General features: G+C 50.3%; 2 protein-coding genes and 1 pseudogene across 9 annotated transcripts in view, besides 9 other annotated features; 2 read left to right on the top strand and 1 right to left on the bottom strand.

Moving 5' to 3' along the window:
- The window catches only part of POFUT1 (protein O-fucosyltransferase 1), a 30779-nt gene extending 25153 nt beyond the window's left edge, over positions 1-5626 (bottom strand). For 3 of the 4 annotated variants that reach the window (XR_007067447.1, NM_015352.2, NM_172236.2), the window contains exons 1-2: positions 5441-5626; positions 3314-3435 (exon numbers count right to left, since the gene is read on the bottom strand). Coding sequence is in view for 2 of the 4 variants with exons in the window: in NM_015352.2 (NP_056167.1) it covers positions 3314-3435; positions 5441-5564 (246 nt within the window). In the remaining 2 variants the exon portion in view is untranslated. The remainder of the gene's footprint in view (positions 1-3313; positions 3436-5440) is intronic. The other variant, XM_047440079.1, reaches the window with a different exon arrangement.
- Positions 4879-5792: an enhancer, noted in NCBI's record as "H3K27ac hESC enhancer chr20:30795517-30796430 (GRCh37/hg19 assembly coordinates)". NCBI's record gives its function as "activates a minimal SCP1, AML or CMV promoter by ChIP-STARR-seq in primed H9 embryonic stem cells {active_cell/tissue: H9 hESC(primed)}" and the evidence as "EXISTENCE:reporter gene assay evidence [ECO:0000049][PMID:30033119]".
- Positions 4879-5976: a biological region, named in NCBI's record as "H3K27ac hESC enhancer GRCh37_chr20:30795517-30796430".
- Positions 5287-5416: an enhancer, noted in NCBI's record as "active region_17713". NCBI's record gives its function as "activates an Ori minimal core promoter by ATAC-STARR-seq in GM12878 lymphoblastoid cells {active_cell/tissue: GM12878}" and the evidence as "EXISTENCE:reporter gene assay evidence [ECO:0000049][PMID:35858748]".
- Positions 5557-5976: a silencer, noted in NCBI's record as "silent region_12778". NCBI's record gives its function as "represses an Ori minimal core promoter by ATAC-STARR-seq in GM12878 lymphoblastoid cells {active_cell/tissue: GM12878}" and the evidence as "EXISTENCE:reporter gene assay evidence [ECO:0000049][PMID:35858748]".
- Positions 5763-21002, top strand: PLAGL2 (PLAG1 like zinc finger 2). 4 transcript variants are annotated; one of them, NM_002657.3, is made up of 3 exons: positions 5763-5865; positions 11214-11587; positions 15824-21002. In NM_002657.3, exons 2-3 carry the CDS (start codon positions 11328-11330, stop codon positions 17052-17054), a joined length of 1491 nt encoding a protein of 496 aa, NP_002648.1. In that variant the 5' UTR covers positions 5763-5865; positions 11214-11327; the 3' UTR covers positions 17055-21002. The 4 variants fall into 4 exon arrangements, with proteins under 4 accessions (NP_002648.1, XP_047296156.1, XP_011527166.1 ...); XM_047440200.1 differs by lacking the exon at positions 5763-5865 and adding an exon at positions 6943-7210; XM_011528864.3 differs by lacking the exon at positions 5763-5865 and adding an exon at positions 8303-8412.
- Positions 7708-7757: an enhancer, noted in NCBI's record as "active region_17712". NCBI's record gives its function as "activates an Ori minimal core promoter by ATAC-STARR-seq in GM12878 lymphoblastoid cells {active_cell/tissue: GM12878}" and the evidence as "EXISTENCE:reporter gene assay evidence [ECO:0000049][PMID:35858748]".
- Positions 16441-17203: an enhancer, noted in NCBI's record as "H3K4me1 hESC enhancer chr20:30784106-30784868 (GRCh37/hg19 assembly coordinates)". NCBI's record gives its function as "activates a minimal SCP1, AML or CMV promoter by ChIP-STARR-seq in primed H9 embryonic stem cells {active_cell/tissue: H9 hESC(primed)}" and the evidence as "EXISTENCE:reporter gene assay evidence [ECO:0000049][PMID:30033119]".
- Positions 21987-22184: a silencer, noted in NCBI's record as "fragment chr20:30779125-30779322 (GRCh37/hg19 assembly coordinates)". NCBI's record gives its function as "represses an EF-1alpha promoter that drives an FKBP-Casp9 reporter gene in an ReSE screen in K562 erythroleukemia cells {active_cell/tissue: K562}" and the evidence as "EXISTENCE:reporter gene assay evidence [ECO:0000049][PMID:32094911]".
- Positions 23059-23338: a silencer, noted in NCBI's record as "silent region_12777". NCBI's record gives its function as "represses an Ori minimal core promoter by ATAC-STARR-seq in GM12878 lymphoblastoid cells {active_cell/tissue: GM12878}" and the evidence as "EXISTENCE:reporter gene assay evidence [ECO:0000049][PMID:35858748]".
- On the top strand, positions 23146-24360 carry TSPY26P (testis specific protein Y-linked 26, pseudogene; annotated as a pseudogene). The gene is given in 1 exon segment (NR_002781.1): positions 23146-24360. The product of NR_002781.1 is annotated as a testis specific protein Y-linked 26, pseudogene (transcript).
- Positions 24437-25252: an enhancer, noted in NCBI's record as "H3K4me1 hESC enhancer chr20:30776057-30776872 (GRCh37/hg19 assembly coordinates)". NCBI's record gives its function as "activates a minimal SCP1, AML or CMV promoter by ChIP-STARR-seq in naive H9 embryonic stem cells {active_cell/tissue: H9 hESC(naive)}" and the evidence as "EXISTENCE:reporter gene assay evidence [ECO:0000049][PMID:30033119]".

The following is a 25638-nucleotide window of genomic DNA, read 5'->3' as shown; positions in this document are numbered from 1 at the left end:
CCACTGCGCCCAGCCTCATCTTTATATTTTTCTACTTTTTTTTTTTTTTTGAGATGGAGTCTTGCTCTGTCTCCCAGGTTGGAGTGCAGTGGCGCGATCTCGGCTCACTGCAAACTTCGCCTCCCGGGTTCAAGCGATTCTTCTGCCTCAGCCTCCTGAATAGCTGGGATTACAGGCGGGCGCCACGACGCCCAGCTAACTTTTTTAGCAGAGATGGGGTTTCACCATGTTGGCCAGGCTGGTCTTGAACTTCTGACCTCAAGTGATTTGCCCGCCTCCCACTGCGCCTGGCATATTTTTCTAGATTTTAAAAAATTTCTGGCTGGGTGCGGTCACTTTCACCTATAATCCCAGTACTTTGGGAGGCTGAGGCGGATGGATCACCTGAGGTCAGGAGTTGGAGACCACTCTGGACAACATGGTGAAACCCCATCTCTACTAAAAATACAAAAATTAGCTAGGCATGGTGGTGGGCACCTGTAATCCCAGCTACTTGGGAGATCTGAGGCAGTAGAATCGCTTTAACCCAGGAGGTGGAGGTTGTGGTGAGCCAAGATCGTGCCACTGCACTCCAGCCCGGGTGACAAGAGCAAAACTCCGTCTTGGAAAAAAAAAAAAAATTCTGGCTGGGCGCAGTGGCTTTTGCCTGTAATCCTAAAACTTTGCAAGGCCAAGGCAGGTAGAATACTTGAGGCAGGGAGTTCGAGACCAACCTGGCCAACATGGCGAAACCTCGTCTTTACTAAAAATACAAAAAATTAGCTGGGTGTGGTGGCACATGCCTGTAGTCCCAGCTACTCAAGAGTAGAGGCACAAAAATCACTTGAACCCGGGAGGCAGAGGGTGCAGTGAGCCAAGATTCTGCCACTGCACTTCAGCCTAGGTGACAGAGCGAGACTCTTCATCAAAAATGAAAAACAAACAAAACCAAAAAAATTTCTACAGGGTGTGGTGGCTCATGTCTGTAATCCTAGCACTTTTGGAGGCTGAGGCAGGAGGACTGCTTAGACTCAGGAGTTTGAGACCAGCCTGGGAAACATAGCGAGACCTTGTCCCTACTAAAAATCAAAGAATTAGCCGGGTGTGATGGTGGGTGCCTGTAATCCCAGCTACTTGGAGGCTGAGGTGGAAGGACTGCTTGAGGAGATGGAGGCTGCAGTGAGCGATGATCATGCCACTGCACTTCACCCTGGGCAACAGTGAGACCTCGTCTCAAAAAAAAAAAGAAAAAAGAAACACAGGCCTGTAATTATGGAGGAGTCTGAGTCTGGGCCACAGATAAATTTGGGAGGTACACGGAGAAGAGTAAAAGCCACAGGAGTCAACAGATATTTATAGCAAAGCAAGTAATGGTAATAATAGCAACTAATATTTATTGCATGTTGACACAGTGCTAGGTACTGCACTCATCACTTTACATAGATTTGCACATTTAATCCTGAGGTAGGAATATAACCATCTCCAGGTTACTTATGAAGAAACCCAAGCATACAGAATCTAGATAACATCTGAGGTCACATAGCTAGTAAGCAAACAGAAAGAGGAGAAACACTAACATCTAAACAGTGGGTGGAGAGAAAGGAGCCCCTGATACAGTGGAAAGAGGAAAATGCTGAGAGGTTAGATTGTAGCAGGGACAGGTGGTGTCTTGGAACAGGGAAGTTCAGGAAGGAGAAGCTTGCAGGGTCAAGTGCCAGTGGGAGGTCAGGTGAGAGAAAGACTGGGAAATAACCCCTGCCAATTTGGAGGTCACTGGTGACCTCAGTGAGAATGCTAACAGTGGCGAAGAAGAGCCTTGTTGGAGCAGGTTAGTAAGCCACAGAAAGCAAGGAAGTGGGGACTTGGAAAGACAACTGGCTGAGAAGGCAAGGAGACAGAGGCAAGCAAGCCAGAGGGAGATGGATGGGCAATGTCTACACTGTAATAGTGAGTGCGAGGCCAGGCGCAGTGGCTTATGCCTATAATCCCAGCACTTTGGGAGGCCAAGGCAGGCACATCATGAGGTCAAGAGATTGACACCATCCTGGCCAACATGGTGAAACCCTGTCTCTACTAAAAATACAAAAATTAGCTGGGCGTGGTGGTGCGCCTGTAGTCCCAGTTAATCAGGAGGCTGAGGCAGGAGAATCGCTTGAACCCGGGAGGCAGAAGTTGCAGTGAGCTGAGATCGTGCCACTGCACTCCAGCCTGGCAAGAGAGCAAGACTCCATCTCAAAAAAAAAAAAATAGTGAGTGCGAAATTATCAGAACATCAATGGTTTCCATTAACTGAGGACTCTAGGATCTGTACGTTGATAAGCTCAGTTGATTCTAAGAGGGAGGCGGCATATGACAACACTGAAGGCGTGTTACTGCCACTGACACATTCAGTCCTTACCACAAGAGGGTAACAAGAATCATTACCAGCTTATTTTTAAAATGAGGACACTGAGGCACAAAGAGGTAAAGTACCCTGTCCAGGCCATGCAACTAGTAAGAACCCAAGTCAGACTATGATCTCTGGTACTCTGGCTTTTGACTGCTGCTCAAAACCTCTGTAAATACTGGCATGCAAAGGAAAAAGTAAAATCTATGCAGAGAAAAGGTTGTAAGAATGAAATTAAGTGTTTTGTTCACACTAAGTATTATTTCTGATGTCTATTGGAAAATTATTAAGTCAATTCATCAAATACTAATTAAGTTCCTACTGCCAGGCTCCGGGAGATACAATATGAACAACGACACAAGGTCACTGGAAGACACAAAGAATAAGCAAGGAACTGGGGGCCGGTGAGCATCGCATGACAAGGGAGCCCCTTGATGGGGTGAGAGGCAGCACTGAAGCCAGACTACCTGGGTTGTGGCCTTGGACATGTCATTAAATAACCTGTGCCTGCATGTCTCCTTTAAAATTGATAATAGCATCTGCCACCCTTGGCCAATGGAATGCACAGAGGGTAGGACCAATCAGGGAAGGAAATGGAGGCTTTAGGTTCAAGTCACAGGCTCTGGAGTCAGACAAAGATAGCTTTGAATTCCAGCTCTCCTACTCACAGGCTGTGTGATCTTGGGCAAGTTACCTAACCTCTGTAAACCCCGGTTTCCTCACAGGCAAGTGATGAGGGTGAAATGAGCTAATTCTCATGCAGCCGCACACAACAGGTGCTGGATAAATAAATGTTAGGCATTGTTATTGCAGTGAAGACAGTTCTGGCTGGAGGTAGGGAAATCTCAGAGGAGTGGGAGGTAAAGCCCAGAGGACTTGAGGGTTAAGTGTAAGTAAGCAAGACTGAGAAAGGGCGGAGAAAGGCCAAGGTCAGTGGGAAGTACTCACGTTGGTGAAAGGAGGCTTGTGATGCTGGTACTCAATCCAAGGAGGGACAGCCAAGGTACGGTTTAGCAGCTTTGCAAATGCCAGAGAGCCCAAGAAGTGATCGGCCTGGTTCCCAAAGCGCCCTGGAAATGGTACATTGCGGGTGAGGTGAGGCCTGGGGCATGGAGGGCATAGAGCATGCAGGGCTCAGAAAGGTTGTGGAGCCAGGGGTAGAAAGTCAGGGATACCAAGGAGAACTAGGGGAGCTGGCAGCATAAGAACAAGTCTGGACTCTTGGGTCTGATATCCAAGGCTCTTCAGGTCCTGCAACAACTGCTTCCGCCACTCCAGGTTTCTTGCTGTTTCCCCAACATGCTCTACAATTCCCATCCCCACCCAATGCCTCTGATCTTGCTGTCCCTCAGCCAGAAGAGCTTCTACCTCTATCTCCATTCACCTGCACATGGACGGGCAACTCGAATGCCTCATTCACTGGGCTCCTTTCACCAATCCCCTGCCATACTCACTCTCCCTCCTTTACCTCCCACCTTGGCTCTGAGCTACTTCAGTTCTTCAATTTTCCTCAAGTATCTTTGCTCACTTCCTGGCCTTCGTACTGGCTGATTCCTCAGCCTGTGAATGCCTCAGAAGCAAGGACCCTGTGTGATTCCTTTTCTTAATCCCAGCATGGCACCTGTTCATTCATTTCACAAATATGATTGAGAGGCCACAATGTGCCAGACTCTGTGCTAGGTGCTGGGATACAGGAATGAACAAGAAGGACAAGGCCTCTGCCCCTAAGGCACTCACAGTTCACTGCAGAGACACTAAACATGTAAACAAATACATGAAAAATGTTGATAATTGCCAGAAAGAGATGAAAAAAGTTTGGTGATAGGGTAATGAGGAGATTACTTGGGTAGAGGTCAGTGAAATCCTTTCTGGTGACATTTAGGCTGAGATCTAAAGGATGGGAAACAGCTGGTCAGGCAGAAATGGAGGAGAGGATTCCAGGCATAGGGACCGCCACCTGCAGCAGTGCAGACTGGAAGACCTGAGCATGTGTGAGGAACGCAAAGGAGTTAAGTGTGGCTGCAGCTGGAGGATCAGCAGAGAAGGGAGTTGTGGAGATGGCCAGTGGAGGCCACATCATTCAGGGCCCTGAAAGTCATGGTCAGGAGTCTGGAAGCCACTGGGGGCCTTAAGATCATCCACTTCCACAATGATGATCCACCATACCCATTTCAACTGTGCACCTGGCATGGTCTTTAGATTCTCCCCTACCCTGCTCTCTTTATTTTCCCTTAGTATTCATCATCCTCTATGAAACTATGTATTTATTGTTTTATGTTTACCCCTTTTTGGGTTTGCTTGTTTCGAGACAGGGTCTCACTCTGTCACCCAGGCTGGCAGTGCGGTGGCACGATCAGAGCTCACTGCAGCCTCGAATTCCTCGGCTCAAGAGATCCTCCCACCTCAGCCTCCCAAGTAGCCGCCCAGATAACTCCCAAGGGACTACAAGCACACGATACCACGCTCTGCTTTTTTTTTTTTTTTTTTTTTTTGAGATTGGATTTTCACTATGTTGCCTAGGCTGATCTCGAGCTCCTGGCTTCAAGTGATCCTGCCTCGGTCTCTCAAAGTGGTGGGATTACAGAAGTGAGCCACCGCGCCTGGCCTACTTATTCTCAATTGTTTGTCTTCCCCAACTAAAATGAAGGCTCTACAAGGACACGGAGTTTATCTTATTCACTGCGGTATTCCCAGTACAGAGAACAGGGCCCGGCACAGAATAGGTGCCCCATAAATATTTGCTGAATCAATGAAAAATCACCAGGAGCCAGCGTGGGTCAGTGACATCAAGTCCTGCCCCACTAACTCCATTTACTGGACCCTGGACTGGCTTAGACCTCAAGCAAGTCACGTAACCTCTCCCAGCCTCAGTTTTCTCATCTGTCAAATGGAAAGTTGGACACGTTGGCCCCTCTGTGCCCTTGCAACTAAGGCAGAGAGGAGAAGAGCATGCCCCGTCCCGCTCTGAGGTTCTCTCCTGGACCTGTGAAGGTGTCTCTGGGCGCATCTGAGGAGTGGCTTTTCCTCTCCCGGCCTCAGTTTCTCCATCTGAGCAGAGGGCTTGGGAGGCCTTACCCATGCAGGGGCAGTAGAGCAGGTAACCGGCCGGGTCCCAGGAGCCCGCAGGCATCCCCGGGAGCGGCAGAAGCAGCAGCAGGAAAGACACGCTCAGCGGCCGTGCCCACGCGGCGGCGCCCATGTCGGCCCGGGAACCCGAGCCAGCCGCGGCGCACAGTCGGGGAGGGAAGGAGGGACGCGAGCGCCCGCCCCGCTCCCAGCGGTCCCTGCGCGCCGCCCGCGCACCGCCCCGGCCGCTCTAGCCCGCGGGCGGGCGGGACCATAGAGATCCCGCGGCACCGCCCCCTCCACGACCCGAGCGCCCGCTCGCGCGGCTCCCACAATGCACCGCACAATGGCCCGACCGCCGCCACTACCGGGGCCTGAGGGGGCCTGGCGGAGCCCGAGCGCGGCCCGGCCCGCAGCGTGGGGCCCCGAGCGCGGTGAGTGCCGGCGAGGGCCCCAGGGGACGGCGGGGAGAGGGGCGGGAGGCCGTCTCGCTGCGTCCGCGCGCCCTGTACCCGGAGCGGCGGCGCGCCTCATCTCGGGCCCCTCAGCGCGGTCGCCCACACCCCCGACCCGGGGCCCGGTCTGCGCCAACCCGGCCCCAGATAGGCCCTGGGGTGACGAAAACTCTCCCTGGACCCCATACCTGTGTCTGGGGGACCCGAGGAAGCCACCGGTCCCCTCCCTTCCGAGACCTGGAGACGCAGTCCTGAGGGTCCCCCATTCCCGACCCCTAGGCTCCCTGGAGACCCAGATAAGGCGCTGCTGACCTTACCAGGGACCCGGGTCTGGGGGACGCAGATAAGCTGCACCTGCTCCCTCCCTCCGACACGCCTACCCAGACCCACATAACCCCCTTTCCTGCTCCAGATAGCCCGCTCTGTACCCTGTTTCATTTTCCAGACTTACATAACTCCCTTTGAGGCTTCCCTCAAATATCTGGGTCTGGAGAAGTCGAATAAGCCCCACCTGTAGTTCCCTCCTCAGTGGCCATACTCCCAGGCTTTCGACATCTTCCATCCCGTTACCCATTTTGAGACCCTCTTGAAATTCAGAGGATACACTTCTGACTATCCCCATCCCCCCAGCCTTCCAGCCCTTATAATCCCCCATTTCATTCTTGTGGGGATCCCTTAGAGACCCAGGAAAGTTGCTCATGATTCCTTCCCATCCTCGCTCTTCCTTCCCATCCCAGAGACTCCCTCCAGACTTCTCCCTGGATTTCCTTTGCTTCTCCAGCCCTCATCCACTCCCATCTCTCCCAGGCTCGGGGAATTGAACCTTTCCCACACCACAGTGGGGTGATCTAAAAGTTGGCCTGGGACCAGGCTGTGGCCCACCTTGGTGGGGAGAAAGGGGCCTGTTAGGTGGAGGATATGGGGACACCTGTGTGGGGGAATCGGTGCTTTCACCTGCAAGCTTAGCCTGTCTCCTGGCTTGTGTGTTTTTCCACCTGTCAGCCATGGGACTGTGTGTAGAGTCTGGTCTTGGGTTTCTAACCTTTCTCTCCTAAGGTGAGGCCACCAGATTGGGAGCGGGGGTGTCGAATCACGTTTTCTCCCCATGAAAATGGGGTTGTGATGAGTTGCAGCCATTTGTTCAAGGCCTCCCCAGGAGTGGGAGGCAGCAGGAATCTGAGGAAATAGTGAATCAAAGAGACTCCAAAGAGGGCCCATCTACACTGACAGAAGAATTAGCAGCCTGAGAGTAAATCCAACCCCTGTTAATCCTGTTTGATGTTTCTTGGAATGGTGCAAGTCATTGAGACTCTCCAGCCTCCCTGTAATTTAATTCTCCCACCACTCTGGAGTGGGCGGGGGGGAAGGGGGCGACAGCATTCCCATTTCCCCTCTTCTCACTGTTTTCCAGCCAACCAGTGTGTTTTAGGATTTGTTTCTGGTTCTGAGATCAGGATCTGTTTTTTGTTTTGTTTTGTTTTGTTTTTTCTTTCCTCTAAGTCTATTTATAATTTCCCAGTTGCTATTTTGGGTTCTGCTTAAGGGAAGATTCTATCCCAAGGAACGTTCTGGGTCTATTTCCTCCGGCAGGTGTTGAATTGAGTTCTTCAGATCCCCAAGTAACTCTTGGGCAGGAGGATAAAAGCTATTTTAGGGTAGTCACTGAAGTGGAGCTGTTAATCCTCTGTGGGTCTCTTTAGTTAAGAACACTCAAAGATTAACCCTTTCCTTGTGCAGGGGTGTTATCTCTCAACTGTTTTTTAGGGGGGAGTGAGGAGAATTTGAGTGTGGCAGCAGAAGGTGGAAACATGCAACTCAATACAAAGACAAAGATAATAGCTCTCTTTTGTTGGGTACTTCTAGCAGGCCAAGCTCTGTGCTGAGCCCTTTGCATACCTCACTAAAATAATCCTTACAGCAAGCCTGTGAGGTAAGTATTTTTAGCTTTACAGATGAGGAAACAGGCTAATAATGGAGAAAGAACGCAGTTTCTATAGAGATGATGTAACACCATAAAAACTATAGTTTCATCAGAGAGCAGCAGGCATCATGGCCCATAACAGGGGACGGACAGACTGGGGAGAAATATGTCTCAGTTTCAGCTTTCAAAGAGGACCATACAGAGTTTTTAGCAAGCATTCCTGTTTGGGATATGGAGCCCTAATAATACAAGAGAGTATAGGAAAGTGGCTCTCTGCTTAAGAGAGAACTCTGGCCCAGGAGATGGTGCCTGGAGGGAGGTAAAGTAAGGGGCTCTTTAAAGGGGATGTGCCGAGGGTTAGTTGTGAGGGAAAAGGGGAAGACTGCATTCTGGGGGAGATGTTGGGAAAGGAAGGAAACTCACTCTGAGGCCTGAGAAGTAACATTAAAGAGGAAAAAAAGAAGTACTATTCAGGCCTCATGCGGAAAAAGAGGCAGACACAGCCGAGACCTCAGAGAAGGCACTGCATGTATTCAGAGCACACATTTTGTATCAGCCACTTTCAAGAGTATTATTTCATTTAATCCTCTATACGAATCTTACAGGTAAGGAAAATAAATCCGTATTTTAGAAATTGAGGAAACTGAGGTTCAGAGAAATAAAGTAACCTGCCTATGGTTTCCCAGCCAGTAAGTGGCAGCTCTTCTGATAGCAAGTCCAAGGTTCTTTCCCCTTTCAGATCAGGCACTAGAAAGAATCTTAGGCTGAAAATATACTGAGTTGTGCCAGTAACTGGGAAGGATTGTGTTTGTTTTATGGAAACAGGTTCTGTCAGCTTCTCTATAGTCTATAGTTGTTAAGATTAAAATGTGAGACCAGAAGAGCAGCTTTGAAAGAGAAGTAGAATTCTTTCACAGTTTTGCTGAGGAAGGACAAGTCTGAAGGAACAGGCCTTCTGCTTATGTAAGACAAACCCAGGAATCTTTCTGGATCAGAGGAGTTTTCAGACAAAGGGCAGAGAGAGACTAGATCCCCAAAAGGGTTCCTAGGTAACACTAGCAGCTTTGGTTATCCAAGAGGCTGCTGGTGACTGTAGGTAGGGACTTCCTGTGCCTTTTGAAAAGTGTAGGAGAGTAGGATCAGGGTGTTGGCTCTTTTCTTTGTGAAGACATAGCCCCATTAAAAGCAGATCAAGGTGAGCACATGGCTGCTGCTTTCCTCCTTTGGTTCTATCAGTACAAGCTCCTTAGCCACCACCAGCCTCTTTCCTAGAAGCCCATTACTCACTCTTTCAGTAGCAGCCTACTAAACTATTGTGTCTTGTTTGTGCTTGTTCAGGAGAACAGATGAGGTGGACGTGTGGGAGGTGGGGACGTAATGTTCTCTTTCTGAGTTTGTGTGGAGTTTCCAGGGCTAGGCTCCTCTCTCACATCAGCCAAATTGATGTGACTTGTTTCCTTCTGGCTGCCATTCCCAACTTTCCAGAGGCTGAGGTGCATGATTTCAAATTGAAGGGGGAGTAGAATTTGACTTTGAAGGTAGGGGTAATTCCCTCCAATCTAAACATGCACACTCGAGCACACTCTCTGCTCAATTCCAAGGTGCATAGTAATTGCTGGTATTACAAACAGGTAATTCCACCCTTGCAAAGGAGGAGGGGACTTAAACAATGAAAGCCAGACGTCACAGGCCTTTGAGGTTTATAGTGAAGCAGGCACATATGCCATAATGACTTGAAGGCTCAAGTGGGACTAGTTTTTAGTGCTACCTACCCCTCCCCAGCATGTGATTCATGCAAAATGCAGCCACCTTAATGCAGATCTTTCTAGACAAATCTACACTCGTGATGGGGACGTGTTTATCATATTACATCGCAGTGTTTCTTCAACAAGAGGAATGGTTCCTGAACAGGACGTAGCTCATGTTAATGATGAGCAAAGCTCTCTGGGGCATGAACCCGCTGATCCCATCATCTTGTTCACGGCCAGTCTGTTGGATGAATGGTCACTGTAAGCAGCAGGTGCTAATGAGCTGAGCAAGCATTCTGTGGCCCACAGCTAGTTTGTGCAGTTGGAGCCCTCCCCAGATTCTCGTGGATAATCCCCAGACACCCCCTTTTCTCTCTTCACATGGAAAAGCCTCATGATCAAATTTTGGCACCATCTCTTCAAAGGGAATCCCCCTGTTGTAGCAGGTTGCATCGTGGTTGGTAATCTGTGGTAAGCTTGGGAGTATGAATGTGGGTCTCTTGTCCCCTTTTGAGAGTCAGTGTGGTAACTCCCATCCTCTTCCTCTGGATTAGTATCTGGAATGGAGTTGTGTCGTTCTTGCACATCTCCCCTTCTATTCAACAAGAGAAAGAATCAGACTTTAAGATTTCGGCTCCCCACTTGGGAATGGCTGCGAACCCAGTTTAAACCAGAACTACCTGGGCCTAGGTTGGTCCCTGAGAATCAACCTGCATTCAGTGACTAGTTTACCTATCTGAAATAAAGTTAGGGTTCCTTTTCTAGATATTAGGTATATAGAGATGAAAGAGAGATGATGCAAGCCCTCAGACAATCAGGCTGGTGGAGAGGAGTAAATTCCAATGCGAGCTCGCTACCGTCTTCTAAAGGAGATGTGCATATGTACTCTGAGGCCCTGTAGGAGGGGCCTCTCAGCACCTAGGGGTGTTGGACAGGCTTTGCTAAAGAGGGATGGTCTGGGCCCTGAGACACAGTGACCCAGAGAAGTGGTGGTGGTCAGGATGGGACCAGTTCTAGTCCTGGTTTAGGGAAAATGCTAAGAATCTGCTGTTGCCTTCCCATATAGACCCTCCTGATGTTGATGCACTGCTAAGAAACACATCTGGTACCAGGACTGACTAGGATGTAAATTTCCTAAGTAGAGGCTTCCCCTTCCTCCTCTCTTGCCTTTTGGGCATTTTATTGCTCCTTAGCACCTCCATGAGGAGGACAATTGTGGAAAGTAGTGGACGAGGAGGTGCCAGGGTAATAAGAAGGAGGAACCGCTATCTCTAGGTTCAATGGAAAGGATATAAAAGTGAGGTCCAGAAGAAAAAGTTTGAAGTTTTGGGGCTTTTGGTTCCTCAGTTTATCTTGTTTCTTATTAGCCTAGATGGTACTAGTAATAGTAGCTACCACTAAGCACTTAATGGATGCCCAGCCTTCTGCTGAATGCTTTATATTCATGATCTCATTTAATCCTCAAAACATTTTTATAATTTAGGAGATTATTATGCCCATTTTATAAATGAGGAAACAGCTCAGGGAAGTAAGTAATTGGCTGAAAGTCACACAGCTTCTAAGTGGAAGGGCTGGGATTGGAACGGGATCTGTCTGCTTCCAGAGCCCATGTTCTCATGGTATTGGGCTCCCTAACACCAGGTGTTCTGATGTTTCAGGTGAAGAGATTGTTTTCTGAAAGCTGCGTTGGAGGCTGTGACAGAGCTGAGAGCCTGTGTGGAGCGGATGGGGAGGCTTTCTCAATAACATGGCCCTTTGCCATTAGCCTTGCCATGACCACATTTTTCACCAGCGTCCCCCCCTGGATTCAAGATGCAAAGCAGGAGGAGGAAGTGGGCTGGAAACTAGTTCCCAGGCCTCGGGGCCGGGAGGCGGAGAGTCAAGTGAAGTGCCAATGTGAAATTTCGGGAACACCTTTCTCAAATGGGGAGAAGCTGAGGCCTCACAGCCTCCCGCAACCAGAGCAGAGACCATATAGCTGCCCTCAGCTGCACTGTGGCAAGGCTTTTGCTTCCAAATACAAGCTGTATAGGTAGGTGACACTCTCATATCTCTTCCTGCCCTGAGGTTCCCAGAGGGAAAAAGCAGAGAGACTCTGCCTAGTGTGGGTTTTTAATCTGTGGCAGAAGAGTGGAGGTTAATTTGTCCTACAAGTATACCCTGAATGCCAAACAGTTGAAGTCACTCACTAAAAAATGATTCAGATTGCTTGATTCAGACACTAGAATCTGATGGGTTGCCTCCCCAAAGTATTGGGATTGCTGGCGTGAGCCACTGCACCTGGCCTTCTTACACCTTCTTAGTGACGATCTGGGTGCCAATGTCAGGCAGCCTTGAGTTTTGTTTGTTTGTTTGTTTGTTTTTTTAAGAAATGGGAGTCTTGCTCTGTCATCCAGGCTAGAGTACAGTGGTGCAATCAGCTCACTGCAGCCTCCAATTCCTGGGCTCAAGTGATTCTCTTGACTCATTCTCCCAGGTAACTAGGATTACAGGCTTGAACCACCGCACCTGGTTGTTTTTAATTTTTTGTAGATATGGGGGTGTGGCTGTGTTCCCCAGGCTGGTTTCAAACTCCTGGGCTCAAGTGATCCTCCTGCCTTGGCTTCCCAAAGCAGTGAGATTACAGGCATGAGCCACCGCACTTAGCCCTGAACATTTTTTTTTAAATATTGCTTTCCTCACCTTTGTCAGGTGATGGTCAGAATTTTAGCTAGAAGTTAGGAATCAGTATTCGAACTTTAGAAGGAAAAGTAGACCTTCTGGCCCAGTCTGTAAATTTTAAAGTAGAGGTTCAGAGTAGGGACATAACTTACCCAAGGTCACACAGCTTCAGAGGTCCTGCAGTGCCTCTTCTACTGAATCAGCCTGCTACTTACTCATTTAACTATGTCTGTCTCCCTGTTGCCCACTGGGGCAGCTGCTTTTCTGAAACTTGTAAGCCCAAGAACCCCTACTTAAAGTGAAATTAAACGTAAAAGCCCTGACATAAGGCAGATAGAGAAGAGCAGCTTTGGTTGCTTTGGTGAGGATGGGGAGGCATGGTCAAAAGCAATTTTGGGCCAGGCGTGGTGGCTCGCACTTGTAATCCCAGCACTTTGGGAGGCTGAGGCGGGCGGATCACTTGAGGCCAGGAGTTTGAGGCAAGCCTGGCCAACATGGTGAAACCCCATCTCTACTAAAAATTTTTTAAAAATTAGCTGGGTGTGGTGGCACATGCCTGTAGTCCCAGCTACTTGGGACTCTGTGGCAGGAGAATCACTTGAACCCAGGAGAAGGAGGTTGCAGTGAACTGAGATTGTGCCACTGTACTCCAGCCTGGGTGACAGAGCAAGACTGTCTCAAAAAAAACAAAAAAGAGCAATTTTGATTTTATCCTTTTCGCATTAGAGGAACCATGAACTTGCCCTTTAGAAATGAGATAGATCAGCCGGGTGCGGTGGCTCACGCCTGTAATCCCAGCACTTTGGGAGGCCAAGGCAGGCGGATCACGAGGTCAGGAGATCGAGACCACGGTGAAACCCCGTCTCTACTAAAAATACAAAAAAAATTAGCTGGGCGCGGTGGCAGGCGCCTGTAGTCCCAGCTACCGGGAGGCTGAGGCAGGAGAATGGTGTGAACCCAGGAGGCAGAGCTTGCAGTGAGCCGAGATCACACCACTGCACTCCAGCCTGGGCGACAGAGCGAGACTCCGTCTCAAAAAAAAAGAAATGAGATAGATTGGCCTGATGCACAGTCATCCAACCATCCATTCATCTATCCAACATTATTGAGCTCTTGCTCTGTACCAGGCACAGTGCTCGGTGCAAGGGGCGGAGTAGTGAGCCAGACAGATGGGGGTGCTGGTCCTCCTTGGGTTTATGGTCTTAATAGTGGGTACAGACAGTAAACAAGTAAATACATGAACAAGATGACCACAAAGCCTCAGTTCCTCATCTGGAAAACAGTTAATAGGAAGGGACTAAAATAGGCAACAGGGTAGCATGGTAGTCAGGATTGCCCTCTTGACAATTCTGTGGTCCTCAGGAGTGCTTAGATTCTCTGTGTGCTCCTATAAGTTAAGGGAACTCCAGTCAAGGCCATACTCTTAGGCTTTCTTTTTTTTCTTTTTTTTTTGAGACAGGGTCTCACTTTTGCCCAAGCTGGAGTATAGTGGCGTGATTATAACTAACTGCAGCCTCAAACTCCTGGGCTCAAGTGATCCTCCTGCCTCAGCCTCCTGAGTAGCTAGGATCACAGGCATGTACCACCACCACACCCGCTAATTTTTGCATGTTTCCTAGAGACAGGATCTCTTCCCTGTGTTGTGCAGGGTGATCTCAAATTCCTGGCCTCAAGCAGTCCCTCCACCTTAGCCTCCCAAAGTATTGGGATTACTGGCATGAGCCACTGCACCCGGCCTTCTTAGACTTTCTTAATGATGATCTGGTTGCCAGTGGGCGGCTGCAGGAAAGGTCCTGGGTCAGGAGGCAGGAGCCCTGACTCATCACATATAATTTACTGTGTGATCTTAGGTGAGTTGCTAGACCTCTTTGGGCCTCAGTTTCCTCACCTGCAAAATGAGGGAAATGAAAAGTGGATCACTCAGCACCTCCCTCTCTACATTACCACGTCAGTTCCATCACAGGAGGTTGACAGTAACCCACATAGGCACGAGCACTCTTGAGCATGCATATGTGGGATGTGGGCAGGGGGTGTGTTTGATACCCTCCAGGTAGAAAGGATCACAGAGTGCTGTACGAGAGAGAGACAGCTGTTGCATACCTGACTGAACATAGGTCTTCCGAAGGCCTGTTTAAATTCAGCCTCTGCTAGGGTGAGGGGGCTGCCTTTTTTTTAGACTCCTTTCCTTGTCTGGAGATCAAGGTTAATGACACAGCTTATGCAGAGCCTGGCAAACAGTGGGTGCTGAGTTGATTCTGAATATGCTCTGGAGCTGTGAATTGCAGTTCCTGGATTCTGAGCCACTTTTCAACCATATAGGATCAGGTAAACCAAGGGACACTGAAGTGCCATACCATTAAAACATTTCTTAAAGTGTTACTGGTTTATATGACAAGCAATTCAAGTGGTACATACTGGCATGCAGTGAAGAATGAATGATCCTCACACTCGAAGTCACTATTCCTCTCCCCAAAGGCAGCTGGTGGGTTGGTTTTTGTGTATCCTTCCTAAGACATTCAAACATGTATATTCTCTTTCTTTTTTATTTTCAAAACAGATTGTATCACATGTACTGTATTGAACTTCCTTTTTTGACTTAGCCCTGTATATCTTGGAAATTTGTTCTAGATAAGGAAGTTTATTTATTTATTTAGAGACGGAGTCTTGCTCTGTCACCCAGGATGGAGTGCAGTGGTGCGATCACAGCTCACTGCAACTTCAAATTCCTGGGCTCAAGTAATCCTGCCTTAGCCTCTTGAGTAGCTAGGACTACAGGTGCATGCTGCCATGCCCATCTAATGGTTAAGATTTTGTAGAGACAAGGTCTCGCTATGTTGTTCAGGTTGGTCTGAAACTCCTGGGCTCAAATGATCCTCCTGCCTCACCCTCCCATAGTGCTGTGATTACAGGCATGCACCACTGTGCCCAGACTGCACGTTTAGGTATATTTTATTTTCTCTTTATTGTATCATTTAAAATTATTTAAATGTAATGTTTAAAAAATGAAATACTTTCACGTAATTCAAAATTCAAAAAGTACCAAAACTTATACGATGAAAATTCTCCATGACACCCATCTATAAGCTGTTCGGTTCTTTTTCGCATAGGCAGCCACTGGTATCAGTTTCTTGTATGTCCTTCCAGAAATATTTTAGCCATATACAAGCAAACATACATATATTTTTCCCCTTTTCACATAGAGTCCTAGTCTACATCCACTATTCTGCCTCCTTGCTTTTTTTCTACTTCCTGTCTCTTAGGAGCATGTTCCCTGTAAGTACACAAAAAGCCTCATTTTTGAAAAGTTGAGTCATTTTATGGACTTATCATAATTTATGTAACCAGTTCCCTATTGATAGATTGGACGTTCAGATTGTTTCTGATTTTTTTTGCTACTACAAGCAATGCTGCAAAGAATGTCGGTACACATTATTTTGCAGATAGGCAAGGATATCTGTAGAATATAACTGGTTTGGTATTGCATTGCAAGCCTTTACCATGGTTTTTATATCTAGTTTCCTGTTAATGGACACCTTTGGTTGTCCAGTCATCCCTTGTGATCTCCCCTCTTTCTGCTTTCTCCCCTATCCCCTGTCTCTACCCCCAGGCACATGGCCACCCACTCAGCCCAGAAACCCCACCAGTGTATGTACTGTGATAAGATGTTTCACCGCAAGGACCATCTGCGGAACCATCTGCAGACCCATGATCCTAACAAAGAGGCCCTCCACTGCTCTGAGTGCGGTAAGAATTACAATACGAAGCTGGGCTACCGGCGCCACCTGGCCATGCATGCTGCCAGCAGCGGTGACCTCAGCTGCAAGGTGTGCCTGCAGACCTTTGAGAGTACCCAGGCCCTGCTAGAGCACCTGAAGGCCCACTCACGCCGGGTAGCAGGCGGTGCCAAGGAGAAGAAGCACCCCTGTGACCACTGCGACCGGCGGTTCTATACTCGTAAGGATGTACGGCGGCACCTAGTGGTGCACACAGGCCGTAAGGACTTCCTGTGCCAGTACTGTGCCCAGCGGTTTGGCCGTAAGGACCACCTGACGCGTCATGTCAAGAAGAGCCACTCGCAGGAGCTGCTCAAGATCAAGACAGAGCCCGTGGACATGTTAGGCCTACTCAGCTGCAGCTCCACAGTCAGTGTGAAGGAAGAGCTGAGCCCTGTGCTGTGCATGGCCTCTCGGGACGTAATGGGGACCAAGGCCTTCCCTGGCATGTTGCCCATGGGCATGTATGGTGCCCACATCCCTACCATGCCCAGCACGGGCGTGCCACACTCCCTGGTGCACAACACGCTGCCCATGGGTATGAGCTACCCTCTGGAATCCTCACCTATCTCTTCCCCAGCTCAGCTCCCTCCAAAATACCAGCTTGGATCTACCTCATACTTGCCCGACAAATTGCCCAAAGTGGAGGTGGATAGTTTTCTGGCGGAGCTTCCTGGAAGCCTGTCTCTCTCATCCGCTGAACCCCAGCCCGCCTCACCTCAGCCGGCGGCAGCTGCGGCCCTCCTAGATGAAGCACTGCTTGCCAAGAGCCCCGCCAACCTCTCTGAGGCCCTCTGCGCTGCTAATGTGGACTTCTCCCACCTACTGGGCTTTCTTCCACTCAACCTGCCCCCGTGTAACCCACCTGGGGCCACAGGAGGCCTGGTCATGGGCTACTCCCAGGCTGAGGCACAGCCCCTGCTTACCACTTTGCAAGCTCAGCCTCAAGATTCCCCAGGAGCTGGGGGACCACTGAACTTTGGGCCTCTGCACTCCTTGCCTCCTGTCTTCACGTCTGGCCTGAGTAGCACCACCCTGCCTCGTTTCCATCAAGCATTCCAGTAGCCCCCACAGAGGCCCTCAGCTCAGTTTTTGGCTCTGTTATGGAGCCTTAGTACCCACCCCGTCTGTGTCCCCCATGAAGGCAGCTGAGCTTTCAGAGCTGGGTTCAAAAAAAAAAATTCCAGTGTCTGTATACAGGAGCACTTGGTTTGGGGGTTCAGGCTCTAGGATCGATTCCAGAAGGAGCCTTGAGCCCCAACCCCGTGAAAAGATCTCATACCGTAGGACTTCAGGTATTATTTACTTTTATTTTTTTGACCTGAATCGGGAGCCACACTTGGCCCTCTTCCTCTCCAAAGCGCCAGAACCTCCTTCTCTTTGGAGAATGGGGAGGCCTCTTGGAGACACAGAGGGTTTCACCTTGGATGACCTCTAGAGAAATTGCCCAAGAAGCCCACCTTCTGGTCCCAACCTGCAGACCCCACAGCAGTCAGTTGGTCAGGCCCTGCTGTAGAAGGTCACTTGGCTCCATTGCCTGCTTCCAACCAATGGGCAGGAGAGAAGGCCTTTATTTCTCGCCCACCCATTCCTCCTGTACCAGCACCTCCGTTTTCAGTCAGTGTTGTCCAGCAACGGTACCGTTTACACAGTCACCTCAGACACACCATTTCACCTCCCTTGCCAAGCTGTTAGCCTTAGAGTGATTGCAGTGAACACTGTTTACACACCGTGAATCCATTCCCATCAGTCCATTCCAGTTGGCACCAGCCTGAACCATTTGGTACCTGGTGTTAACTGGAGTCCTGTTTACAAGGTGGAGTCGGGGCTTGCTGACTTCTCTTCATTTGAGGTCACATTTTTCCCCCGTGGGGAAATAAACTGACTTTGGACTGCTTCAGTCTCTGCCATCTTCCATGACTGCATTTGTTCCTGCCTGCCTCGGCGGTATCCACAGAAGACAGGCAAGAGGATTGGAGCAGTTTTCTCACAGGTCTGCAATTCTGTTTTTCTCCAAGTACATTATGACCCCCTCATCCTTCTCTTGAACTGGAGAGGGGAAGAAATGAAAGGCATGCCCACGTCCGTCACCTCCCCATCCCCTAGTCCCCACCTTGAACATCATGAGCTGTTGTTATTAGTCTTGGAAGCAGAGTCTGGGTTGGTGTGGATAGCAAAGGAGGAAGTCTGAGCCCCTCATTGGTCTTCCTCCCACCTGTCCCTTTTCCGGGAAGTTGTGGAATTGTTGGAAGAAGAGTTTGCAGAAGGTTAGGAATGGGTAGATAGCTAAGTCCTAATCTATGGGTACATTGTTGTGTCCCAAACCAAAATTTTCCTTATCCACAATGTCCCTTCTGTCTCTTCCACTTTACAGTGGACTCGGCCACTGTGCATAGGCTTCTCTGCTCTCCATCAAATCACTTCCACTTTCCTGTGCCCCCACCCCCGCCTCCAGTTTTCCGCTAGTATCCGGCAAGGTTTCTTGCAACAAATGATTAGTTCTTTTCTTCTGACTCGTGGGGCTCCCTGCTGCAGAGAGCACAGCCCTTGCCTGGAGCCCAGGAACCCCATCCTTGCTTCATCTCAGTTCTTCATGGGCTTCACTCTTCCCACTCACGGAAGGGAGGTAGCTCAGGGACCTCCACTGTGGGACCCTTGAGACGCTTCCACTCTGATTCAGAAACACACTTCTACCTCTTTACTGTTAACTCTTAACAGATGCAGTCAGCAGTTTCTGGGCACTTCTCTCAGTAGGTGCCTCATGCTGACTTCTCCAGTAGGGTTTCAGGACAAACTACCAAGGAATTGCCTCAGCCTCCTACCAGTCCTCCCTCACCCACCTTCTGTCTAGGTTCACTTGGTTTGTCATCAGGAACTGAGCAGGTCCAGGACTCAGCTTTCTGCTTCAGCCTAAGCCAGTACTCCTTGTTTGAGGTAAAAGCCTTAAAATTTAGCTCCCTAGCTCTTGATTAGAAGCAATTTGGAGTAAGTGTGTTTTGATTTAGGCAGGGTAGCTTGGGATACCTTTTTAAAAACACCAGATATTAAAATGTCTGGCAAGGTTAGAATCAGACTAGATGATTTGCTTCTAAAAATTAGTTTCAGTGAGTCCCAGGGACTAATTAAGGTTTATTTTAAAAAGTGTCTACCTTGGTACGCAGCCACCTCCTGCATGCTGTGCATGTTATTGGGACTTGTATTATAGGTGATGGTATGTGAGAATCCAGTTGGGACTCGCTGTTGCCATCCTCTTTGTTGTATCTGGTTTTCATCACTAGACTCAGCAACCCTTCTCACCTTAACTGCCACCTTCCCTACACTCTCAGTTTACAGAGGCCACTGGGCCTCTGGCTGCAGAATACAAAGTCCCGGGCTGTTAGAGGAGTCCTTTCCTCTCTGCCTGCCCTTTCCTGTCCCTCCCTCGAATTCTCTCTCCCCGTAAGTGATGCTGGAAAAGTCATAGGACTGGCAAAGCAACTGTTTAAACCCTTTGTAACCGGGGCCTTGCCCCCACCTCCTGTCTTTTCTCCTTGCCTTCCCCACTCCTGTGTCCTCCCATCTATCCTGTCTTTCCTTTCCTCCTCTCAGTGTCCTCAGCACCCACAAGGAATTTTCCTATCACTGTGAACTTTGCTGGTACAGAGGAATAATATCTGCCTTCACCTTTTTTTTTTTGGACCATAGCTAGCCAGTCATTTCTTAAACCTCCCTTCCTAAAATCTGGGGGGTCGGGGGGAAAGAAAAAAAAAGCCTTAGTGGCCTGGTTGTTCAAAGGATAAGAATAGCTTTATCCTGCACTCAGTACCCGAACTCACTTCAGTATGCTTACTGAGGCCATGAGAACCTGAGGGGCATCTGCCCAGGACAGGAGCCATGGCATATGACAAAGACCAATGAGGGACCAGGAAAAAAAGTGATGTCCCCTTTCCCTGCCACCTCCAGCCTCTGCCAGCAATGAGCTGTCCCCCTCCCACCCTACACAGTAGCTGGTCAGGGCTGAGTACAGTCCTGGGGGTAAGGGGATGACATGCCCAGGTGTCAGCTCAAAGGATCTCTGCATCATCTTGAGGTGGGAGGCAGGGAAAGGAGCGCCAATGAGGTTCCCTGCAACCCCCGCCCTCCAGCCCACCGCCCAACCTTTTACAAATGGCATTTTCTTAATTGAAAATCCGGGAAGCAGGTGTGATTACTTTTTTGCTCGTAGATATTGTCCTAAGTTGGAATTCTCCCACTGCCCTAAAACTTTCCCTAGTAGTCCTTTAAACTCCCCCCTCCCTTTTTGGTAGCTGTTTTCTCCGTCCTCTCTCCACCTGCCCTCTTATCTAGGAGCTGTTTGTAAGCACGATTTTTTTAACAGGTTATATTGTACAGGATCAATATTTTGCTTTTTAACAAGGATATTTATGTAATAAGAAACTTTGCCTTAGGCAGGTGTTGGCCAGAAAAGTCCAGATTCCTCTGGGATCCCACCCTGGCCTCTCCTGGAACTCTGAACCTGCTGTGGAAGGAATTGGCCATGACCTTCACCTCTGGAGAGTAGGGTCTATGGCGAGGGAAAAGGGTGTTCACCATGATAACCTAGTGCCTCCATAGAGGGGTTTGGAAAAATTCCAGTCCGATTTCTTTGTGTGTCAGCTGACTTCCTTAGCTGATTGTTCCCACTTGCACCTCTCCACCTTTGGCACTAGAACTCCTGAGACACCACTTCTCATGCTTCTCCCTCCCTACCAGCGGTCAAGGCTTTGGAGCCACTCTTTTGTAACTCCAGATTATTTAAAGAGAAAAGTACAAGACAGAAATCTTCTAGCACTTTGTAAACACAGTGAATAACCTCTTGGAGTATTTTTGGCTTTATATAAAACAAGGTTTTTAATTGTAAAGTATAAGTGCCATTAGAAAATGCACAGGGCATATCTTTGTTAAAGTAGATTTTTCAATGTTTTACAGAATTACATTTTCAAAAAAAGGTTTTTATAATGAAGTTGTTTATTAAAAACTTCTGAATGATGTGTTTGGGAGTTGTGAACCTGTCTGATTGGGAAACGGTTGGAGAGAGCCTCGAATTGGGAAGAATTGGAGTCTCCAGACATCTTTAGCATCCAGGATGATGGTGAGCGTAGGGCAGACAGTAAAAACCCCTCCCATCAGCACCTATAAGCTTTGTACTTTTAAGTTAAATATCATATTTGCATGTCTTTGAGGTAAGTGGCATAATTCTATCAGTTAATCATCTTGGATGCAAGAGTCAGACAGCCAAAATCAAACTGGCTTTAAACACTGAAATTGCATGTAACTGGAAAATGCCAGATGTAGAGCAGTCTTTGGGTTAGGCTTGATCCAGTGGCTCCAACATGGCTGGCCTCAGCATTCCTATTTCTCTCTGCTCTGTCTTGTGTAGTTGTGACTTCATCCACAGGCCCTACAAAGTAGATTTCCCCTTTGTGTGGGAGTGAGCAGAATGCTGCCTGGATTCCAGACCTGCCATTCTCACACATTGCCAGCCAGAAGGAAGCAACCCTTTCTGGGCTCTCAGGAGAGGACTCACCACAGAAGCCCCAATAAGCATCCTGTTTCATTGGCCTTGATGGGATTCTGTGCCATCCCCAAACCAGTTACCATATGCCAGTGACAACAAGACTGAAACAGGAGTGGTTTCTCAAAGGAAATTTGGGGCACTCTTAAGATGAAGAATTGATGCTGGTTGTCCAAGAAAGGACAAATGTTCACCCTAGTCACTGCCCAAGGTGTACAGCTGGTGACAGCTAGGACCTGACCTTACCTATACTTGTGCCCAACCACCGGGTTCAGGCAGACTGCTGAGAGGCTTACATAGCTTCACCTGACTTTGGTGGTCTCTAATGAAGGTCGTTACCACCATCCTGGGTGCCAGCCCTTGTGCTGAGATCCTCCCATCAGGGGCTCAGACTGAACTGGCTTTTCTGTGGTCTGGAGCCAGTGTCTATGGCCAAGCAGTGCAAGTCACTTGCAGTCCAGCCAAGAGCCTATGGGGCCGTTAACAAGTGCAGGTGTTTTATGTACAAAGGAAGTGGGCTGACCCTTCATTTTTGACCTTCCACTTGACAAATGTTCACTGTCCACCCCAGTAGGTTAAAACCCTAGCTAGGACCCTAAGGAAATCCACCTTGCTCCCTAGGGAGTGTATACCACAGTATAGGTCTGAGGGCTCAGATGAGGGAGCTGTTGTATCCATTTGTCAGGAAAAGGCTGAAAGCTTTCTGGAAGAGGTGGCAAGGACTTCCACGCAGAGGTGGAGGGGGATTGGAGGTACTGACCTCCATAGGCCACAGTTTGGGAGCTGAGACCACAGGAACACAGATTTGCAGGATCGAGGACTAAGAGGGCTGGCCAATCCAGCTCTTAGCCTGCCAGGTACAGTTCCTGCACTTCAAGCTAGAGTCCACCTTTGGAAGGGTAGCCTTTGGGCCTAGCACAAAGTGAAGCAAGGTCCACCTCGCTTCTGCCAACCAGCCCAGGAGGAACCAACTCCTGTTGGGGAAACCAGGCAGATGCCCACTCGCTCCCTGGTTTGTAGCATTTAAGACCCTCTCTCACCCCAGATCCTTCCACTCTGACCTTGCTTATTTTCCCCACATGAATATTTCAAGCACCTGCTTTCCCTACATGAACGTGTTGATCACCTTTGTGTGTCAGAAAATTACCATTATCTGCCGCTCCCAGTTTCAGTCTGGTCAGTCTTTGCAGGAGATACCTCTTAAGCCCTCTGCATGTGCCTGAGTAATTTATCCCCTGTAAGGCCGAGAGTGTCCTACAACTGCCCCAAAGCGCCACTCGAGTGTGGAAGCCGGGCGACTCCTGCCTGCCCACCGCAGATGGGGAACACTGAGCAATCGCCTGGCGTGGTGGTTGTGATGGGAAAGTTTTACTTGTCCAGGACCAGCGACTGGGCCTGTCCCCTGGTGTTTGCTCCGAGCTGACTCTTGCTTGGTACACACTTCTCCCCACCTCCACCGCCAGCGCCAACGAATGTGGGGACAGTTCGTCTGGCGCCCGCGGTCGCATCCCCATCGGGCAGTTCCGTACCCCTCCTCCGGGCTTCCAAGCCGCTCGCCCCGGCTGCGGGAGACCCCGGCGAATCACATCCGAGAGGGGGGCGCGTGGGGCGGAGCCTTCCTCCCACTGTCCTCCCGCCACCAGCCGCCCCTGTCGCCGAGCCCGCAGTCGCCAGCGCGCCCCGAGCCCCTCCAGGCCAGAGGCTCCCGCAGGCGATGGCGGACAAGAGGGCGGGGACCCCAGAAGCCGCGGCGCGCCCGCCGCCCGGCCTTGCCCGGGAGGGGGACGCGCGCACGGTCCCCGCGGCCCGGGCCCGAGAAGCTGGGGGGCGCGGGTCCCTCCACCCCGCAGCGGGCCCCGGGACCGCCTTCCCTTCCCCTGGGCGCGGGGAAGCGGCCTCCACGGCGACTACTCCGAGCCTGGAAAATGGCCGGGTCCGGGACGAAGCCCCAGAAACCTGTGGTGCAGAGGGGCTAGGGACTCGGGCAGGAGCCAGCGAGAAGGCCGAGGACGCGAACAAGGAGGAGGGCGCCATCTTCAAGAAGGAGCCAGCGGAGGAGGTGGAGAAGCAGCAGGAGGGGGAGGAGAAGCAGGAGGTGGCAGCGGAGGCCCAGGAGGGCCCGCGGCTCCTGAACCTTGGTGCCCTAATTGTGGACCCACTGGAGGCCATCCAGTGGGAGGCGGAGGCCGTGAGCGCCCAGGCCGACAGGGCCTACCTCCCGCTCGAGCGCAGGTTTGGGCGGATGCACAGGTTGTACCTCGCCCGTAGGAGCTTCATCATCCAGAATATTCCGGGCTTCTGGGTCACCGCCTTCCTGAACCACCCGCAGCTCTCAGCCATGATCAGCCCTCGAGATGAAGACATGCTCTGCTACCTGATGAATTTGGAGGTGAGGGAGCTCAGGCACTCTAGGACAGGTTGCAAATTCAAGTTCCGCTTTTGGAGCAACCCCTACTTCCAGAACAAGGTGATAGTGAAGGAGTATGAATGCAGAGCCTCAGGCCGAGTGGTGTCTATTGCGACTCGCATCCGATGGCACTGGGGCCAGGAACCCCCGGCCCTCGTACACAGGAACCGGGACACTGTCCGAAGCTTCTTCAGCTGGTTTTCACAGCACAGCCTCCCAGAGGCCGACAGGGTTGCCCAGATTATTAAAGATGACCTGTGGCCCAACCCCCTGCAGTACTACCTGCTGGGGGATAGGCCCTGCAGAGCCAGGGGAGGCCTCGCAAGGTGGCCCACGGAGACCCCTTCTAGGCCCTACGGGTTCCAGTCTGGCTAAGTGCTGCCTTGGGATGTGCGGCCTACATAAGCTTCCTCATGCCTCCTACGGGTGGCGGATCTGGGCTCAGGCCCATGGTGGGCGCTCTGTTGTCTGCTGTCTGCTGTCTGCTGTCTGCTGTCTGTTCTGTGCACTCCCGCTCTGCGTGGTTCGGTGGACTCAGCTCTCAAATTGTGGCCCTCGTGGCCAGTCTCTACTGTTTCCATATGGCCTCTTGCTGTTCTGTGTTAACATCACGTGGCTGTCACATGCCGCTGCGTCTACACTAAGCACCCAGTGCTGTGGATGTGCACTGCCATAATCTTTACGGCATGGACCTGTGACCGTGGCCATCCCAGCCATTTTTGACAAGGGTACCCACAAGTCACTACTTGGAGGACAGTGCCTCTTTGAGGCCTATGCTTCAAGACTCCAGCCTGCCGGCCTTCGCATGCTTGCTGGTCGTGCTCACAGTAGCTCTCTACACCCTGGCTGTGGCAAACTGAGTCTCATCACCCAAGATGAAGTGGCTTCATTTGGTGCCGGGTGCCACCCAGGCTTGGACATTCCATGGCCTCAAGACCACAGGCTACCACCAAGTGGACTCTTGGGTATCTGGCAGGATGAGCACACAGCTGGCTGCTGGGCATGGGTGAGGTCAAGGGCATGAAGCAGTGGACAGCACATTCTTTGTGATCATACTGCTCCTCCTGCCCCACGGTGGCCTGACATCACAGCCTGCTGCTAGCTTATGAGGGTCTGTGCCGTGCCCCACCAATGCCTAGCCATCTCCTTTCCCATGAGTTTTGCCCAGACCACCATCAGCCCTGTTGCCCGCCCCCAGGTCTACAGGAACCTCCATAGCCGCTTGTGGACCCAGGTGGGCCACCTGCCAATGCACAGGAGAGCCCCTAATCCCCAGGAACTCTGCCAAACTGGCCTATCTGGGCATGTGAGTGAGGCAGGGGCAAGGATGGGATCCCCTCCTGAGCCCCAGTTACTGGACCCCACAGAATCCAGGTGCTCTGCCAGCCCCCCTGCCTCTACCTGTTAGGCTGCCAAGCTGTGGGTGCTGGGGAGGGGGTCTTCCTGGTCCTGGGGCCTGTCTATCCATACCCAGATCTCACACCATTTTTTTCTTTAAATGATGGCTTAGAAACAAAAAATAACAACTGAAGAAAAAGATTTTTTCTTAAACTCAACAAGAAAGACTTTCGTGTTCAGTTTGCCTCTCTTCGTCTCCAGAGAGGGAGGGTTTGCCCTGTAGACTGCCAGCATTCTCTCTTCCCCTATACCTTACCCTCTTTAGCAAGGCCTAGAATCTTCCAAAGGGGACAGTCCAAGGCTGCTGAACA

The sequence above is a fragment of the Homo sapiens genome, chromosome 20, assembly GCF_000001405.40.
Source record: "Homo sapiens chromosome 20, GRCh38.p14 Primary Assembly".
Lineage (NCBI taxonomy): Eukaryota > Metazoa > Chordata > Mammalia > Primates > Hominidae > Homo > Homo sapiens.
The sequence above is the reverse complement of the archived record's forward strand: the minus strand, read 5'-3'. Positions and strand labels throughout refer to the sequence as shown.